This window comes from Homo sapiens, chromosome 11 (genome assembly GCF_000001405.40).
Source record: "Homo sapiens chromosome 11, GRCh38.p14 Primary Assembly".
In the NCBI taxonomy this organism is placed as follows: Eukaryota; Metazoa; Chordata; class Mammalia; order Primates; family Hominidae; genus Homo; species Homo sapiens.
The window spans coordinates 13,297,592-13,317,807 of record NC_000011.10 but is presented as its reverse complement, the minus strand read 5'-3'; the positions used below and the strand labels follow the sequence as shown (position 1 = coordinate 13,317,807).

At 47.1% G+C, this 20,216-nt stretch overlaps 1 protein-coding gene across 46 annotated transcripts in view; it reads right to left on the bottom strand.

Moving 5' to 3' along the window:
- BMAL1 (basic helix-loop-helix ARNT like 1) overlaps nucleotides 1–20,216 on the bottom strand; it is a 110,615-nt gene that overhangs the window by 69,459 nt on the left and 20,940 nt on the right. For all 46 annotated transcript variants that reach the window (NR_147788.2, NR_147790.2, NR_147791.2 and 43 more), the window contains exon 2: nucleotides 7,749–7,821. Coding sequence is in view for 6 of the 46 variants with exons in the window: in XM_017017738.3 (XP_016873227.1) it covers nucleotides 7,749–7,821 (73 nt within the window). In the remaining 40 variants the exon portion in view is untranslated. The remainder of the gene's footprint in view (nucleotides 1–7,748; nucleotides 7,822–20,216) is intronic.

Sequence of the window (20,216 nt, the reverse complement as noted above, 5' to 3'; positions counted from 1 at the left end):
TTCAGAAAGATGGGAAGAGGCAGAGTAATGGCAGGGAATGGAGATAAAAAACAAAACAGTCAAGTAGTTGCTATTAAGAAAGTATTTCTAACATACTTGTGAAGACAATGGTAGCTGTTTGTATCAAATTCTAAGGAAATTGTTTATATTTATTTAGCTATACAAGGCACAAAACTTGGAGAGGGAGAATTTCTCAGGTCTAGAGTAAATAATAACTCAGTGCATTGCCCACAATTTACTGTCAATGAACCTCTAAGAACTTCTGTCAGGTATTGTTTACCATAACGATTTTAAACAATAGTGACCATTGAAATAATGGCTCTTCTTTGCCAGGTGCTGTCCAGGCATTTGGCACCCAGGGTCACCAATGTGGGTCATACATCCACTGGACAAGATTCCAATAAAGGCCAATGTGACAAACCTTTTTCCAAAACAAAAAACAAAACAACAAAGGACATAGACTCAACATCATAAAATTGTGCTCCAGCATTTTTTTCAAAGACAAAACAATAATAAACATACTTGTGCTAATAATAATATCTGGACATAATGTGCAATTCAAAAAGCACTTTTCTTATATACCATCTCCCTTTCATCACAGCCTGCATTTTAGACTTTATATCTGTTCCAAAGTCTTCTTATAATTATTATTAACAATAATACTTTGACAAACAAAAACAATGTTAACAGATAATAAATATTTGGTGCTTTCTACACGCCAGTCACGGTGCTAAGCACATCTTCATTCCACTCTCACAAGAACCTTATAAAGGTTATTCTAATGATTACAATCCCATTTTACAGATGAGAAAATGGAGGCTAAGGGAGCTTGGTGGGTTTGTCTTAAGTCACAACGCTAGACAGACAGGGAGCTGATGTTCTGAAGCAGGTGGGCCTCCAAAGCCTGAGACCAGTGTGCCGAATGCCCTTTGAAGCAGGCGTCTTAGAGGCCAGCCACACTTTAAGCCCATCTCAGTTTGCTGCTGGCAAATGTACCTAGGGTGTGGCTAACGTCCCCCTTCTCCTCCTCCCACATCCACTTTCCCCATTTGGTCAGAAGCCATTTTAAAATTTTTATTTTTCCCAGTCAAAAACAGTATGAGTCAGTTGAAGCTCAGCCAGCCTGGCCCTAGAGAGCCCTGGAGGCCTGGTGAGTTGCCCTAGGGAACTGGGCTTCCCCTGCTGCCAAGGCCCCTGCCCAGCTGGCTGGAATCTAGGTAGGGTTTTCACATCACTGCAATCTCAATGAGGTCTGGGAAGTCATAACAACCCTGTGAAGTCACCAAGGTACCAAAGTGAGGGGTAGGGGAAAAGGGAGGTGCCTTCAGATCAGCGGGGGAGAAAATATGTATTTAGCCAAGAGCTATGATGTATCTACTATTCAAAGCTCCATGTTAGACCCCTGAGAGAGGGAGATATAGCAGGGGGATAAATAACACAAATAAAAACATCATGCATGAAAAAAGCACACATCCACACACACATGCACACATACCAACTGCACCATGAAGCAGCTTCTCTTAAGGCAATGACCTCAGGCTCTCCCTCAGCCTTCCGTAGGGCCATGGGCCCTGACTGTACAAAGTATTGCTCTGCCACAGAAACCACAGTCCAGGGCAGACGGACCATCATGACCTGCCATGGGCAGTCATCCTCAGAGTGTGTGCAGATCAAGAGGACCAGGAGAAGGGCAGCTGGCTCTGCCCTGAGAGACAAAGGGGGCCCCTTTCCTTGAAGAAGGACAACAAAGGGGTTGTAAGGTAGAGAAAAGGGCAAAGGGAGTGGGCAGAAGGAACAGACCTTAACAAGGCACAGATGTTTCCTCAGCACAGCTGGTTCTGATGCAGAACCATGGAAGTGAGGGTGACGGCCAAACCCCATGCACGCACTCAGTGAGCTCCAGAAAGGGGGAGGCCTGGGCTGGCTCTTTTATGGTCCTAGCCCACCCTCCTGTGATGCAAAAGGCAAGAAGCAGCTGTGGGCAAGTGGGCAGTCCCACATGCTCTCGGTCAACTCCAGGCTGCGCACCTGCCTAGAGTCCTAGGTACTCCTGCCATCCTGGGGCTCAAAAGGGCTGCCCAGTGAGGGAACAAACATTCATTAATCAAATAACCACACAAACCGAGGTCATGACCTCCATGACAAGTGCTGGAAAAGGACAGACTGCAAGGACTTGGAGCAGAGGGAACGGTGGCGTATAGAAGGGTCAGAGCGTAAACCCACAGTCCAGCATCTGGGATAAACTCCTGCTCTGTCACCTACTCAATGGGTCGAGGCCTCAGTTTCCTCACACAGTGTCTTTGGGACAATGATGACACTTACCTCAGCCAACATCTACCAAGCCCCTAATACAAAGTAGCTACGCATGAAGCATTCTAACAGTACTTGACACAAGGTGAGCAGTCCATAAGCGCTAGATGCTGGCATGGGAATGGTGAGGACAAGACCTAGCCTTCTTATCAGGGAGGTTGGGGAGGCTTCTGAGGAGGAGGCAGGCCAATCAGCTGAGTTCCAAAGGGTGAACAGGCATGAGCTAGGCAAACCAGGAGAAAAATGCATTCCAGGCTGAGGGAACAGCATATGGAAAGTCCCTACAAGGGGAGGCAGCATCACAAGCATTTCCATCCCAGGAAAGCAGTTCCAAGAGCCTGCTGGAGTGTCCTGGTCTGCAGGACACCTCGGTGCTGAGAATGGCTCTCTTCTGAAAAGCTTTCCTAGATTACTGTGAGGCCCCAAATAAAAGCTGCACTCTTGGCACAACTTCTCAGGTCTCTGGCAGAGATAGGAAGTGAAGAAGACACAACAAGCAACAAGCTTAAGGCACTGAATGAAAACAGGAGAGTTTATATGCTATTGGCTAGGTGCATTGTGCTAGCTCCCATGCAAAGTACAGATGCTGACTTGGGACCCCTGGGGTCAGAGCTTCTTCCTATTTGTTAGACTCCTCAGTATTCACTGGGGACTTTACAAGGTTTAAAATGAAGACAAAGAGGCCCTCAGGCACCCCCATGAAGGGCCACTAGGTATCCTTACCCTTCAAGAAAAGCATTCTCAGCTGGATTAAGGGGGAAAAAGGCTGTCAGACAGTAGTTCGCAAGAATAGATATTCTGGCTTATTTAGGAAATTTGGGATTCATCCAGGACCAAGGTGGGTGGACCTCATTCCTGAGAATTCCTTGATGGATTATTTTTCATTTTGAATTGCTATTATCGGTCCATCAAAAACAAGAGCTAAAAAAATAAAAAGTCAGGGGCAAAGAATATAGAGAAGAGACATTCCTGAGGTCTCAGCATGCTGGGAGACACAACAGGCGTCACAAACTCAAGCCCAACACAACCTGTCCTGCACTCAAAGCTGACAAGAAGAGCACCCCAATAAACCCAATGGCCAATGAACCTCCCATTTCAGGTACATTTTATCACATTATGAATCTGTTGCTTGGCTGCACAAACAGACCACTCCTCACTCTTACAACAAAAACTTCCTGAGCCAGGTAAACTATGCTGGCACTTGGAACAGAGAGAGAGAGACAGAGTGTGTGTGTGTGTGTGTGTGTGTGTGTGTGTGTGTGTGTGTGGTCTCCACCCTTAAGGAGCTCAGGTTGCTGAGCATAACAGGTAAGTAAATCAACAGTAACACCGATAAGTGCTTTGCAAGAGAGACATGAGGGTGTTCTGGGAGCCAGGAGGAAGGTCATTTCCAGGTCATGGAGAGGTGCTGGGTAGGGAAGGATGGTGTCCTGAAGATTTGGGGGAAACTGGAGTTGAGTTCCCAAGAGGGTGAACAGAGACCACGCCATTCCCAGGAGAGGGCCCAGCATTGCAAAGGCACTAGGAGGTGATGGCTGTTGGTAGCTAGGCTGAGGTTAGAAATGTGAGTTAGGGAAAAAGGAAAACCCAAAGTGGGGTGGGGGTGGGGGAGCAAAAGCTGCAGGGGGCCAAGGGCCAGATGATGAGAAGACTGCAGGCCCCGCTGAAGGGGGTTAGCTTTTATTTTCTAAGCAATGAGGAGCTCTTGGAGAGCTTTAAGCAAAAGAAAGCTCTGATCAGACATGTGTTAGAAAGATCACGTTGATAGGAATGTGGGCAGTGGAATGAGGGAGGAAAAAGATGAACACAGGATGACCAATTAAGAGGCTGTCATAGAACAAAATGATGAATCCTAAACACAGGAGTGGAGAGACAGAGAAGAACTGAGTTGACAAATTAGAAGATGAGCTCTTCAGGATGTGGTAACCAAGGGAATATGAGGGAAAAGACAAGGCCAGGACGACTCATGAAGCAGAAGCAACTGAGGGGCGTGGACCAAGCAGGCAGCACAGGGAGAAAGACGCATGTGGCACTCAGGAGGGGACAGACAGGTTGAGGTGCCCTCGGGGCAGACCACTAGGAGTGTGGACTGGGAGGAGGTTCAGACCGGATATGGAGATCCGGGTGTCTTCAAGACAGAGGTGAGTGGTGGATGAGCTCACCCAGGGAGGACGTTAAGGATGACGTGAAAGGGACCAAGCCAAACCAGAAGCTAAGGACAAAGAACAGAGAACCAGCAGAGCAGGCTGTGGAGGCTGGAATCTCAGCAGCTGGAGGAGAACCGGGAGCCGACCCAGGAGAGGCACGCTCAGCAGAGCTGAAGAAAGCGAGGCCTGAGGTGGGAGTTCTCGCTGCAGGGAGCAGTCAGCTGGGCATTGGCAATGGCAGCCAAGTAAAACAATTAAAACAAGGTGCTGACAGCGCAGCTGACAATCTGTAGTCACCCCAAGAGGAATTTTATGGATTTTACCCCCAACGAGCTCACTGTCTCACTTCTTGGACAGGCCCTTCCCTCTCCACCCCGGTCTCACTGTCTTTTATTTCAGAGCATGATCATACCTGACGTCACATTCTACATCTCACACATGTAGACGTCTGCTTCACGACAGCAGAGACCTTGTCCTGTTTCACCTCTATAACCATGATGCCAAGAGCAGTGCCTGAGAGGCTAAGTGTCTTGTACCAAGTCCCTTGGTGCATTCGAAGCAATAAATAATTAGTGAGTACATAACATACTACATGCCAGATTCTGTGCTACGATGCTGGGGATACAGTGAAAAACAAGACAAAATAGGAGCCTGCCTTTGGAGCTCAAAGCTGGAGGTAATTGGAGAGAAATGCCAAGAGTTTAAACAAAAATGACATTATAATTGTCATAATGCTAGGACTGGAATCTGACTCTCATGCCTTCTAGCGCTATTTTCTTTCCAAGCCCAAGGCTGCTGCCTTCAACTAAATTTTATCTGGGGAAACAGTTAAAGTAAGTGTTTGAGGTTTGGCCTTAGTCTCTTCCAGACTTCCCACACTTCTTCTGCCCTTTCAATAGACTCCTAAGAAGTGGAAACACCCACTACAGCCTCTGAATATTTAACCTGAGGGACTCGATCTATCTCTAGTCCTTCTACATTAGTAGGAGGAAAAATTCCAGACACAGGCAAGATAAAGTAGGAAGCAGCATAAGCCAGGGATTATACAGACCCGGGTTCAAATCCCTTGTAACCTTGCATAGTTACTCATCTATGACTTATTTCTGGCTGAAATAAGAATACTATTAATAATTCCCCCCACATAGGTCATTGCAAAGATGAAATGGGATGATACACAATAGCACTTAGCACTGGACTTAGTACATAATGAGTGTTCAATAAATCATGGCTCTAAACCAGTTACAACTGTTGCTTTTGTTACCAGCTCTCTAACTGCTATATTCACACAAACCAAGTCAAAAACTACTTAGAATTCAAACCAAAGAAGGTACACTCAAAATACTCAGAGCACAAATTGATACATAATTAAATCATGACTGGAGGAATTATCCTCAAGTCCCCATACTTGGATAGACTCTGTAGTAAGAAGGTTTATTTCAATTTTTGGTCCACTCTACTTTCTCCTCCAACTTATACAAATGCAACTACTTCCCCAACAGATCACATCTTGTCTCATGGCAAGGGTCCAAACACGGGCTGGATTCCGTGGTGCAAGTTGTGGCAGAGTTACGAACACCACACCTCAAAAGGGAGCATAAGAACACAATCACAAGCCCAAGGTACACACAAACTCCCAAACACAGCTTGGCTCCAAAGAAGGAAATGAAAACTGGTCACAGCATGCTTTGCCTGCCTCAAAGCTAAAGCAAAGGTTATTCTGACAAGCAAGTATCTAAATCTTATGTGTCTCCCTTCTTTTACTACCCAAACCTTCTATGAGCGGTCTATTTTTGTAACATCTCAATTCTTTATCCTTCATTTATGTCCAACTCCATGTAACCTGGCTTCCTCTTCCCTTCCCCTCTTGTGACATTACATTTCTCAAGGCCATCTGCAAAGACCTTGTCACAAATTCAGCAGCCTCCCTTCAGGTCCGTTCTCCCTGGTCTCTGCTGCCCCATTCTCTTCCCTTCCCGGGACTCTCCTCCATGGCCTCTGGGTCTCTTCCATCGTCTTCCCGTCCCACAGTTACGCATATTCCCCACAGCTCAGCCCACTGCTCATCTTGGGGAGACCGTGTTTAATCCTATGGCTTCCATTCCACATCTCTAGACTTAATCTTCTCAGGCCAGGCTTCAGCCCTGCATTTCCAATTCTCTGCTGGACATTTCTTATGGATGAACCACTGTTATCTTGAATTCAACATATCTAAAACCAGATGCATCAGCTATCCTTTCCACCCCCAACATCTACATTTCTGTCAAAGATACCACCGTAAACAAGCAAGCTTAAACTTTCATCCTCTTTGACTCCTGCCTCTTAAGTCTAAGAAGACTGAAAACGCTATTGGTTCTCCCTTTGCAGTATCTCCTCCATTGATCCTTTGCTTCCATTTTCACTACTGTTCACCGCAAGACCTCATGCCTGGATGACTGCTGCTGCCTTCCAAAAGGGGCCCATGCCTCTTGTCCAGCTATCAGATGAATGTTCCTAAAATGTAAACATCACTTCTGCCACTTCACTTCTTTATCCAAAATAACTTCAATGGCTTCCCACTGCCTTCAGGATAAAGTCTATGTGCCTTAGCCGGGCATTTAGGGTCTAGAAAAGGAGTTGGCAAACTACATCCCGCAGGCCAAATCCAGCCCACCACCTGCTTCTGTAAATAAAGTTTTACTGGAACACTGCCACACCCATTCATTTCCATATTATCTATGGCTGCTTGCATGTTACCACAGCAGAGTGGAGTAGCTGTGACAGAGACCACATGGCCTACGAAGCCAAAAATATTTAGCATCTGGTCCTCTACAGAAAAAGTTTGCTGATGGACTAGAATCATCAGACGCCAGCAGATCCCACCACAGTTCTTGCCCGTGACTCCTTTCGATGAAGATTTTGCTCCTATGGGACTGCTGCTAGGCCCACTTTGTTTACACCTCACCTCTATGTTCTCAAGTCCCGAAAATCTTCTTTCACTCCTCCCCGGACTTTTTTCAATCTAGCTTGCCCTTCAAAACAGAGCCAAAGCTCCACCTCTCCATAAGGCCCGCTGCATCCATCCCCCGCACCCCTTGGTTCCCCTCCTCTGGCCTCCCTCTCTGCATCTACCACAGAAACCTACAGTGAGATTTCACTTTTCCTATGTACCCCTTCAGCCTGTGCTACAGGCTTCTCCAGGTCCAGGGCTGGTAACCTCCACAGAGAACTTGCCAATGATAACTACCTTGCCTTTCATTCCAAATACCAATCCTTGATAGCATAATTTGGTAAGAAGGCATCAAACAAACTTACCAATGAAGGCCCAGGATTCCACATTGGAAAAGTTAAGCTTGGGTCCAAACGTATACACTCTAGCCAGCACCACCTAAAAGCCAATGAAATAAAAGTTTAGCTTTAAATTCATAGCACCCAATAAGTTTTGATTTACCATACTCCTGGGATGCCCATTCTGCTTCTTTGCCTAGAAAATCCCTGCTTGTCCTTTAAATCCATTGGACAGTTTTTCCCTGTAAGCCTCCCCAGTGTTCCAGGCAGGCCAGGCACCCCCTCCTCTCAGTACCCATGGAACTGTGGCGGCATGCCTATGGTAACACATGGCACGTTGTGGCATAACTTCTTGTTTAGGAAGGAGAGGGGGTTTCTCTAGACTGTAGGCTTTTTAAGAGAAGAGACCTGTTAAATTCACCCCGTCCCATACCCCCAACTGCCTAGAACACTACGGGCACTTAGATGATCCTCAATAAATACTTGTAAAATGGATGGAAAAATAACCTACTCACTTCATTGACACATGCTTGGATATCTAAAATTCTGCTAGGCCAGAATTTTCACCATAAAAATGAATGCCTCAACCCCACTGCTTTTAATAGGCAATGGTTTAACAGGAAGGACTAATGAAATTAATCTAAATACACACCTTTGGAATGACACTCCCCTGGGCAGAAACCATCAGAGGCTCCCAGAATCTAAGAAGGCAGGCCCAAATCCACAGCCAGGATGCTGGGCCTGCACCAACTGGCCCGGCTGCAGTCTCAGCTTGCATGGTTTCCCCCGATAGACCCTACCATCCAGACAAACAGGACTGATAGTTCCCAAAACCCTCTGAGCTGGACGTCTTCCTCCACTCTTCTCCACATTACCTCCATCTACTGAGATGGCGCATCCATTTCAAACATCATATCCCAGACCAAGTTCATGATGGGGCCCCAAAAAGTGCTCTGTTTTTTATTTAATCTCTCTCCATTTTTAATTGTGAGAAAATACATGTCACATAAAATTTGCAGTCTTAACCATTTTTAAGTGTACAGTTCAATGGTATTAAGTACATTCATATTCTTATTCAACCATTACCACAAGCCATCTCCAGAACTCTTTTCATCTGCAAAAATGAAACTCTATACCCACTAGATAACAACTCTCTCTTCCCTCCTCCCCGCAACCCCTGGCACCCAATAAGTTTTTGCCAAATGAATGAACACACAAATGAATGAAGGTATGAATGAATCTGACTCAATCCTCCCCACAAAAGCCAGAAGCACTGTTTCCTTCTGCTGGATTCCTACGGTACTATCTTCACATCTTTCTCAGATTTATTTTAATAAATCTTAAATGATCCCTTTTTGCAAAATTATATTCTCCTTCTGGGAAGGAACTATGACTTATTTGCAAAGTTAAGCTTAGGTCCAACAGCATATGCATTTGGCCTGTCTTGCATTTTGCTACATCCATTGGTAAAGTCTCAGTCCTTACCTTGCAGCTTTGACACCAGTTAATCATGCCCTCTAGCTCTCCTGGTTTTCCGCCCACCTCACTGGCTTATCTTTGCTTATTCTCCCTCATCTCCCCACCTCTTATGTCAGCGTGTTCAGTCCTTGTTTTCATCTCTTCTCTGTCACTCCCTTGGTGATCTCAACTAGTCTCCTGGATTCACACATATCACCTCCATGCTAACAATGCTCAGATTTCTCTCCAAGCCTGGACCCCTGCTCTGAACTCCTGACCAGTACATCCAACTGTTTGTGTCAAGTAAGAAGTAGATGGGAGCTTTGTGTAAGACATGGTGGGTGTCTCAAACTTAAACATGTCCAACACAGACCCCTGACGTGCTCCTCCCAGCGTTGTGTCCGCCTCAGTTTAAGACAATGTTCTTCCAGCTGCCCAGACCAAAAATTTGGAGTCATTTTCATCTCCTTTCTCTCCCACTCCGCATCTAATCCTCACTAAAACTGGTTCTTACCTTCAAAATGTATTCAGAATGTGACCATTTCTCACCACCTCCACCGTCCCCATCCTAGATTGCTGCGACAGTCTCCTAATTGGTGCCCTGCTTCCCTGCTGCTACTCTTGGAGTCACTCTACCTCCACCCATAGTCTATTCTGAACAGAGGAGGAAATCTGGTGCAATATGAATCAGATTGTGTCATTTCTTTCCTTAAATCCCTTAAAAGCCTTCCCAGCAAGGATGATGCCAAAAGGACGAATGTGCCTAAAGCAGACTCGCGGGCCTCGGGGCAGGCTGGGGGCAGGAGAGTCTCCAAGCCAGTGTCTCCCTCTCCCCAACCTATTTCTCCACTGGCAGTCCTGACTGTATCACCTATCTTCTGATTTCTCAAAAAAGGAAGCTCTTTAAAGGGAGGGAAATGCAATCAATCAGCTTCCTTTTCCAGCTGGATACCACAAGAAGCCAACAACACTAACACTTCTGAAGAAGCAATAAGGTACATCGAGTCTGCCAACACTTAATAGTGTTTCCAAAGATAAGGCTAGCCCTCCAGAGACTCATTCTTTATGCCCTTGGTGGCAGTGGGGAATCCTCCATAAGACCCCCTTCTCCTTGCCTCCATCTGGCCACCAAGTCTTGCCTGTCTAACATCTCTAGGACTCTATCCCTGTTCTCCACCTCACTGATGCTGTCGCTACAGGTGAAGTGCAAACAAAGTAAGTCAGGATTCTAAGCTAGCTTAGGCCTCATCAGTGCTCCTTGGAGCTAAAGCAGTGGCCTACGAACCCGCCTTGACACCTCTTGTCATTCACTTCCAATCACAACCCCATACAGTGTCCAGAATGATTTTAATAAAACCTAACTTTGATCAAGTCCCCTGCTTTAATCTCCATGAAGAGTTCCTGCACTGCCAGACTACATATTCTTCAAAATCTATTACAGTAAGCCATGGTAAACAGTCTTTTTTATCTTCCCCAGATGCATTTTGTCTGCCTTCTCCTTTAAAAGACTCTGGTTGCCCCAACAGGGGTGGGCAGACGATCCGGCCTAGATTAGAACTCTCCACTCCCTTGCAACAGTGACGGGTCCAAAGGCAGGCACATCACCAACCTGGGCCAATCAGAGCCTTTCCCTTAAACTGATACCTAGATGTAGAGAAAGGCTCTCCCCCTTCGCTGGGATTGTAAAACTGAGGCTGCTGGTGGCTGTGCCCCCTCAGGCAGGGCAGCCTGTCTGCAGTAGAGAGGTCTGATGCCAACACACAAAGAACAGAAGGCAAGGAGCCAACTGGACCGCTGGCAGCATCAACTCGCATTCCAGAACTTCTTCCTTTTGTGCACTCCTACAGCATCCTTCCCAGTCATGGAACCAGTAACTACCCACTTATGCCTCAGCTAGCTGGAGTCCCAACAGGCCCATCACGCCGTTTTCTGTATCTGTGCCTTTTCCCACGTTGTTTCCTCTGCCCAGAATGCACACTCCCTGGATTTTTACCCAGCAGCCAGAATTCCTCTGCCCAGAATGCACACTCCCTGGATTTTTCCCCAGCAGCCAGACTTCCTCTGTGAAGCCTCCCCTGAGGGGAAGCACAGTAAGTCCAGTCTTCCAGATCTGCTCTACAATGCCTAGAATACACCCCTCTGCCACGCTTAGACCCCTCCCTCTGTCTCTGTTATCTCAGAACCAGCTAGCTGCTCTAGCTAGAAACCTCAGACCAACCTGGTCTCCTTGCACTTCCTCACTGTCCTCATGGAACTTCCTGTCCTTCTTTCTGCTGCAGTTCTACTGTCACGGCCAGGACCTCAGGACTTCAGGACCTCCTGCCTGGACACAGGCAGCAGCCACCTAGGCTCTCTCCACTCCCCCTCTTCCCATCCCCCTCCCACTGCTGTCAGGGCTGAGCCTCCACGGCCCTCCTGCACCTACAGAACGGAGCCCTTGCATCTAAACTAGCCCCGACCTATACGCTCCAATTTCCCCCAACCATTTCCACTCCCAGCAGGATGGAGCAGGTGCACTTTCCCTGATTCCACCTGCTAAGAACAATGAAAACCCCTGGGCATTCTATGCTAGATGACTATAAGAAGACTCCAAATGGCAGTCTGAAGAAGGCAGACCAGCTGGGACCTCAGGATCCAAGGAACAACACAGTGGTGAGCTTCCTGCATTTCCTTTTCTGCATATAGCTCAGACTTGGAACTGAGGAGACCAGCAACTCAGAAATGCCAAGGAGCACAAAGAGAAAATGCCCCAACAAATCTCCCTGTTTCAAGACAGAAAACTTGTAGATAATAACCACTGTATTTCAGCCAAACATCACACACACACACAAACACACAAAACCCACAGTCCTACTCACAACCATGCCAGCAAAGTGCAAGTGGCATCTACAACAAATCCACAGCTGACCTTACACTTAATGGTGACAGGCTGATGCTTTCCCCAAGACTAGGAACAAGGCAAGGATGTGCACTCCCAGCACTCTTGTTCAACATAGGACTAGAAGTCCTGGCCACACAATCAGGCAACAAAAAGAAATAAAAAACATACAGATTGGAAAAGATGAAATGAAACAATCCCTATTTGCAAGTGATACAATTGTCTATGCAGAAAATCCTGGGGAATAAACAAAAAAAAATTTCTATGACTAATTAGTGAGTTTAGCAAACATGCAAGATACAACATAAAAACAAAAAAATCAATTGGATTTCTATATACTAGCAATGAACACATGGATACCAAAATTAAAAATACAACCCCATTCGCAATCAGTAAAGAAAAAAAGAAAGAACTATCATTTCTCTCAGCTAGCCATTCTATGGTTTAGCCACTTGAGGCCATCTGTGCCATGAGGGCAGGGATGATATATTGTTTTGCTCTCCAGTGAAATAAAATACCTAGCGGGGGCCCAGCATCTAGTAGGTGTGCACTATCTGTTTTCACAGCTCACGCCCTGCCATCTCTAAGATGAACTTTCTTCCCCATATGCTCCCAGTGAGATCATGGTCTATTAAAAAGTCCCATCTCCAGTTTCAGCCTTGACAGGTCATGACTGCCAAGGAAGTACGTGGGAAACAGTTTCCGCTCCCACTCTCAAACACAGAGGCTTTTCCCTTAAACTGATACCTAGATGTAGAGAAAGGCTCTCCTCCTTTGCTAGGATTGTAAACTGAGGCTGCTGGCAGCTGTGCCCCCTCAGGTAGGGCAGCCTGTCTGCAGTAGAGAGGTCTGATGTCAACACACAAAGAACAGAAGGCAAGGAGCCAACCGGACCGCTGGCAGCATCAACTCGCATTCCAGAACTTCCTCCTTTTGTGCACTTTTGTGGGTTGTTACCCTTCAGCCAGGGCCTCACCAGTGTTTGCAGATGGCAGGCATTGGAAGTGGACTCCAGTAGGCATATCTCACCCCCCTAGAGGGCACACTCAGTCCCTGCCATGTCACTCTAAAGGGGTCCCAAGGTTTGACCCAAAGACCCCAAAGTGAGACAATTCCCAGTGCTGCCTCACCTCTGCTGTGTGCCAGGAGGGACTCCAAGTGCCCTCTCCATGTCTGAAAGCCTAGTCATGAATGGGAATTGCCCATCTGTGCTGAAAAAAGTATCACAGAGTGAAAGAGGTTATGGAGGACAGGTCAGGGCCCAGAGAACACTCAGATATCCTTTTCCAAAAAATTTCCCCTCTTGCTTCTGAGGGTAGGAAGTGAGACTAATACTCATTAGGCAAAGCCAAAACCTCAGAATAATCTTGACTCCTTTCTTTCTCTCATGCCCCACTACCAATCCCACAGCAAAAGTTGCTGGCCCACCTTCAGAACTGATCTCAAATCTAACGGCTTCTCCCCACCTCTACCACCCCGGCTCAGGGCCAGCCCTTCTGGTCACATACCTGGATAACACCCGCAAACGCCCGCTTCTCCCCTGCATCCCCCTTGCTCCCTCAGTCCACTCTCAACACAGCAGCCAGAGTGAGCCCTGTGAGACGTGCCTCAGATCCTGTCGTTCCTCCTTCAAAACTCTATGTTCTGGCTCTGCTTGTCATTCCCAAGGCAACCAAATCCTTACAGTGACCCCAGTGGCCTGGCCCCCACAACTCCATGCCCTCATCTTCTCCCACTCTCCTTCTCTCCTCCCCACTCCATTCCAGCAGCCTTTGTCTTGCTGCTCCTTTTGTGTAAAATGCTCTTCCTCCAGCTAAACACATAGCTCACTTCTTCACCTCACTCGCTGCAACACACCATGCCATGAGTTCACCAGAACCCACTTCCTTTTTTTAGGCGGCACATGGCCAGACTTCCTTTCCCAGCCTCCCTTGCAGTCAGGAGTGAACATGTGACTGAATTCTGGCCAGTGGGTGGGAGGGAGGTATGCTTCCTCCAGACTGGTCCATAAAGCCTTCCTCACAAACTACCCTCTCTTCTTCTTCCTCACGCTCCAGCATTTGAATGCAAAGGAAACCAAGGCCCTTGAAGAAGGCAGAGACACAGGATAAAAGGAGTCTAGGTCCCTGGATGACTGCAAGGAAGGCTGCCTGCTAACCAGGAGCAGCCACTTTGGAATTTTTTCTGCAGAGAAGTGCAGTTTTGTTGTGTTGCTACACTGAGATTTGGGGGTTTGTTTGTTAACCTAACAATTTGTTGTACTCTCAATGAGGCCTTCTTTGACCACTCCTCAAAATCCTCCCACTTCCCATCTGACCTCCTTGCTTCATTTTTCTCCATAGTTCTCATTACCACATAGCATAATGTATATGTCATTTATTATATGATCTCTACCTCCCCAAGTTAGAATATAAGCTGAAGGTGGGAGTTTGGCCTTTTTTCCCTTTGCTGTACACCCTGGGTCTACAACAGTTCTCAGCCTGTTGCAGACAATCATTTGTTGCCAATGAATGAATGAATGGAGCACATGGAGTCTAAGGTTAGAAAGGCCCGCTTAAGCCCAGCTCTGCCATGTACTAGCTATGTAACCTGGGGTAACTTACTCTATCCCTTGAAGGCTCATTTTCTTTATCTGTAAAATGGGGGAAGTAATAGTACCTACCTCAAAGAAATTGGGAATAATTAAGATCACGAACGTAAATCCCTTAGCTTAGTGCCTGATAACCACTCAGGCTCTGTACATGATGACTGCTATTGTTAATCAGCTCGAGGCCAGAGGACAAGACTGGGTTTCAGCCCCAAGCACGGTCAGTGGCAGGGCAACATCTCGGAGAGAAAGAGGCTGAATGGATATTTACATGCACAAACTCTTCCGGAAGAAATCAAGACAAACACATAGGTAGTGAGCTTCAAGAGCTGCCTAAAAGTTCTCAGTAAATTGCCAACAATCAGAGGAACCTGCCAAGTGGGGGCAGGGGCGATGACAAGTGTGTGCGGAGTCTGAGAAAAGTGCTGCTTGTGGAGCGAGCACCACCCAGATGACGAGAGATCACTTTGTGCCTTTTAAGAAACAATTTTCACAGCAAAGCTCAAGAAAAGAGAGAGGCCTCTTGCATCATGGGGACAAGGTAATAAGGCTATAAAAATGGAACTCAAATAAACCACACACAGAGCCCACATGGGCCCAATTTTCCAGGGAAAATAGCGATTGCACAGCATTTAGATGGGGGAAGTCACACTTGTGCCTCAGCATAGCAAACAGCTTTCAAAAATCATTAGGCTGCAGAAAAGTCACCAGGTTTGCCAAATTAGCAGTGCCAGCTCTCACCTGCCCCCTCTGTCACACTCACCTCTTTCTACAGATAAGAGGACAGGGACAGTGATACTCATCAACAGCTATGATCCCCCAGGAACACGCAGCACTCTGCAGCCAGGATAGGACACCACAGCAGCTCCAGCCTGGGTCACCCTGCTGCCCCTCTCCCGAGGCCCTCACAGCTTTCTCCTCAGCCCAGACCTATTCCTCAGGTCTCACCTCCTGGGATTGTCTGCAGCTCTGGGCCTCACTGACAAACTTCTCCTTAAAGCTCTGTCTTCCTGTGGCCCTTCACGGCTCTCACCAAACCCTCCTCCCATCCCCACCTCTCCAATGCCCCTCATCTCCATCTCTGGTCTCTTTTCCACCTCTGCATTCCTGAATGTTGATAATCCCAGCCTCTAAACATACGGCATCTGTCCATCTGTCTGATTCTAGTGACTGTTCTTTCCCCAAATCAGAGACAGGACAGCTTCATGGTCGTAAGCACAGAGCCTGGAGCCAGATGAACTTGGTCTGATCTTGGCTCCACAGCAGTGTGATCCTGGGCAATTAATTCCTTGCTATTTATCTTAGCTTCCTCATCTGTAAAATGGGGATAATAACAGTACCTCATTTGGTTCATTGCATGGATTAAGTGAGTTACTACATATAAAGCTCTTAGAACCATGCCTGGCACCTGATACTCTCCATAAAGTGCTACTATGACCATTACTACAGGCATGCAATTCTTCAGCCAAATCCCAAACATTGCCCCATGTCCTTCCATCTCCATCTCCTCTACTCAGGCCTTTTACCTTTGCTGAGAATGTCCAGCCTCCATTTCAGCCTGTCCTTCAAGATGTTGACAAATGCAACTAGTTCCATAAAACCTTTCTTGATTCTCCTGCCCCTTAGCCCCACCCTGCCCAGCAGTGAGGTAGAACTCCTCCCTTCTCTAAAAGGATGGAGCTGACTCTCCCAGGGCCCCCTTCTTAATCTCCCTTGAATAACCATTGGTTTTAACATTGCTTTATCCTTCCCACTCCCTGGTCATGAGCTTCTCAGAAACAGGGGTGCACTGGGTTCTTTCTCCCTAAAGTTTTAGCCCTTGCAACCTTATATAGTGTAAACATTTGCTGGTTTAAACTGAAATGCAAAGCTTACAGCCCAAGTCTACATAATAAGCCACCAGAGACTGAAACAATAAAAACAACAACAGACCAGGCGCAGTGGCTCATGCCTGTAATCCCAACACTTTGGGAGGCCGAGGCAGGTAGATCATGAGGTCAGGAGATTGAGACCATCCTGGCCAACATGGTGAAACCCCATTTCTACTGAAAATACAAAAATTAACTGGGTGTGGTGGCACGTGCCTATAATCCCACCTCTCGGGAGGCAGAGGTAGGAGAATCGCTTGAATCAGGTAGTCAGAAGTTGCAGTGAGCCAAGATCACGCCACTGCACTCCAGCCTGGTGACAGAACGAGACTCCATCTCAAAACAATAACAACAACAACTACAACAAATCAGCAAGTCAGAGGAAGCCTTCCCCATCATTCCAAAGCCAACACATACCTCAGGCTCAAAGCAGTACTGGGGACCAAGTCAGTGTTGTCTGTTTGTCAATTTCATTCTAGTTATTTCCTAATAACCAAAGAACCAAATCCTTTCAGCAAGTCTACAACCTGCTTCCACTACTAAATGGCATTTCCAGAGAGGCTCATTTGGAATTAAGGAGACATGTTTTTTCTCGGAAATCTTATTTACTTTTTCTTGTTTTAGGGCATTTCTAAAAATATCCTTAAGAAGAGATCACTGTTTGTTATGTTTTCATCAGATGCAGGAATACAGATCTCTTTGATTTTCACAGGTAGATTGCTCCTTCCAAGGATTTATTGGCTCCCCTCCACACTCAGGAACAAACAAGTCACGAGTTACTTTTATACACACAGTCTTTCACTTACAACTAATTTCATGTTACTGTTTCCCTGCTTCCTCATTCATGAAAACCCCAACATAGATGATTCCTAGCATTTTAAGTAAATTTTTTATATATCCTCATGACATTCTTCTTGAAAAAAGAAATTCTGATTCGCTATTAAATCTTGGGCCATTGCCATTAGCTAGACAAATGCCAACTAATGAAATGATTCCATAATACACAGAGATGGCTTAATGTAGCATTAGCTGAAAGAGCAAAAATTAGAAGCAATCTAAATGCTCCATATCAAGCTCATGGCTTACTGAAAACATTCCCTTGATAGAATATTATACGGCCATTTTAGATGGCCATAGGGAAGACGAGGGGCCCATGGAAAAGGGCTGGGGCGTAATGTTAAGAGTAGAGAGGCCATAGTGCAGGGGAAAGGCCAAGATCAGGGAAAGGCCAAGGTCAATGCAGGAATTCCATCCTCAAACAGCCATGAGGAATGGGAAGGGAACTTTCCCTATGTTTGCAGAACGAATCCATCTCTGGATGAGCGAACAACTTTCAGCCCCTCGGACACTCAATGTCAAGCTTGGTCCTCTCCAGTGTGGCCACCAGGCTCCCACCTGAAGGCCCAGCTCTCCTCAAGTCTCTGAGGCTAATGCTGAGCAAAGGCAGGAGGGATTTGCTCACTTGCTGCTAACCTGGCAGGTAAAGAAAGTGAACCAAGAAACTGGGCACCTCAGCCAAGGCCTCCGACTTCTCAGCCCCTTGTCCTCTGTTGGTTCAGTTGAAACTCTGCCACCCCAAAGGTGCCTGAGAGCATGGGCTCTGCGTGCCACGTGCAGGTCCCCAAGACAACTCCACCTCTGGAAAAGAAAATGACTCTAGAGCTTCTCTCCCAGGGCCCTCTCCCTCACGCCACCACAATCCCCAGTGTGGACCCCTCCTGCCAAATACAAGAGGCCAAAGTAATTGCCCTGGCATTACAGTTTTCCCCCCATGGCCCCAAACCACCTACCTAACCATGCCTCCCAAGGCACCTACCTAACCACCCCTCCCCAGGTATGGCAGGGGCAGCTCTCCTATTCCTTCTGCCACCCCCAGAAGCTGTGCTCCCTTCACCAACTCAGATCCCTTACAGGCCAGCTCAAGCCTTTTCTCCTGCACCCTCTCGTCCCAGCCACCTCTGAACACATGGGTATTACACTGCCTCCCTTGAATGACCCCAACCTCTCAAAGCCTGAGTAGCCAAAAAGCCAAACTCTTATATGTGAAACAATCAGGTCACCCAGATGCTGTTATCCAAGAGACTCCTCTCTCCAAAATTTGCTCTAAATATACCACTGGAGACTCTCATTTAAGTGGTTGCCAAGCTCTCCCTTGACACCCCTTGGGAGGGGGCACAAACATCAGACGGCAGTGATGCTGGAGCCAGTCCCCCTTGTAAGGGTCCTGATGGATTAAAAAGCTCTTTCCACCTCCCACAGCCACCAGCAGCAAGCACTTCCTAAGCTCCTACCACATGCCAGCTGGGGGCGCAGACCGCCTGAGATACAAATCTGAACAGGCCAGTCTTTGCCCCACAGGAATTGCAATTGGAACAGGAAAAAGTGTGAGATAAGCCCACTACTGCAGTGTGATAAATGCCGAGCAGACAGAGAAGGCAAAATGAAGGGGAACACAGAGCACAGGTGGTGGTGACTTAATTCAGCCTGAGAAGGGACTGCAGAAAGGCTCAGAGAAAGCCACATTTGAGCCAGGGCCTGGAGAGTTAACAGAGACAATGAAAATACTGGCATCCATGTATTAGGTGCTTCCAGTGTGCTAAGCACCGTACCCAATACTTTACCTTTGTGCATCCAAACTCATTCACTCATGCATCACTGAACCCCTACTGCCAGGCACCAATCCAGGCACTGGGGATACAGCAGTGAACAAAATTAACACTGGTGCCTGCCTGCATCAAGCTTATGTTCTGTTGAGAAATAAATAAATAAATAAAAATAAACCAAATAAATAAGGAAAACGTATAATATATTAGATGGTGATAAGTGCTAGGAGGAAAAATAAAGAGCAAGGGAAAAAGGGAACATTTGGGGGGCAGTGACCCAGATGGAACAATTTTAAATAGGGTGACATTTGAAAAAAGACCTGAAGAAGGTGAGCTAACTAGCCATACACACCTCTGGGGGAAGAATGGTCCAGGCCAAGGGAGCAGGCAGTAGGGAGAGCTTAAACAGGAAGCATGCCTGGTGTGTTTGAAGAACAACACGGATTCCACTGTGGCTGGAGTGGAGCTAGAGAGGCGCAGGTAGGAGCAGCATGTACAGCTGCACAAGTTGTGCAATGCATAAGTTGGGGAGGAAGTGAGTGCCACTTACATGCACCACAATGAGCTGTGCAGAACCCAGCATGATCAACCATACACCATGGCCTTGGGGTGGGAGATGAGGTCAGAAGTACCAGGAAGCTCTGAGGGCCATGCTAAGATTTGGCTTTTCCTCTGACTGGGACAGGAAGCTACTGTGGAGAGGATTCTGAGCAGAGGCCTGCCCTGATCTGACCCTCGGTCACAGGATCGCTGTGTAAAGAATGCACAGTAGCGGGATGAAATTGGAAGCAGGAGACAGCTTTGGAGGCTACTGCAATCACCACACTCAACTATAGTCTTATCCTCATGGTCCCATGCAGTAGGTTCCATGAGCACTCTTTCACAGAATAAGAGATTGAGGCTCAAGAGAGATCTGGTCACTTGCCCAATGTCACTCAGCTAGGATGGAAAGCAGGGGGAAGAGAGCATTCCAGATGGAATGAACAGCATAGGCCATGAAGCAGGAGCTTGGCAGGGCCTAGCACACTTGGGAAAGGGCAGGCTCACAGTTTGGGATGCCCAGAGCCTCCCCTGGGGACACATGGGGACACATGGCAAGGG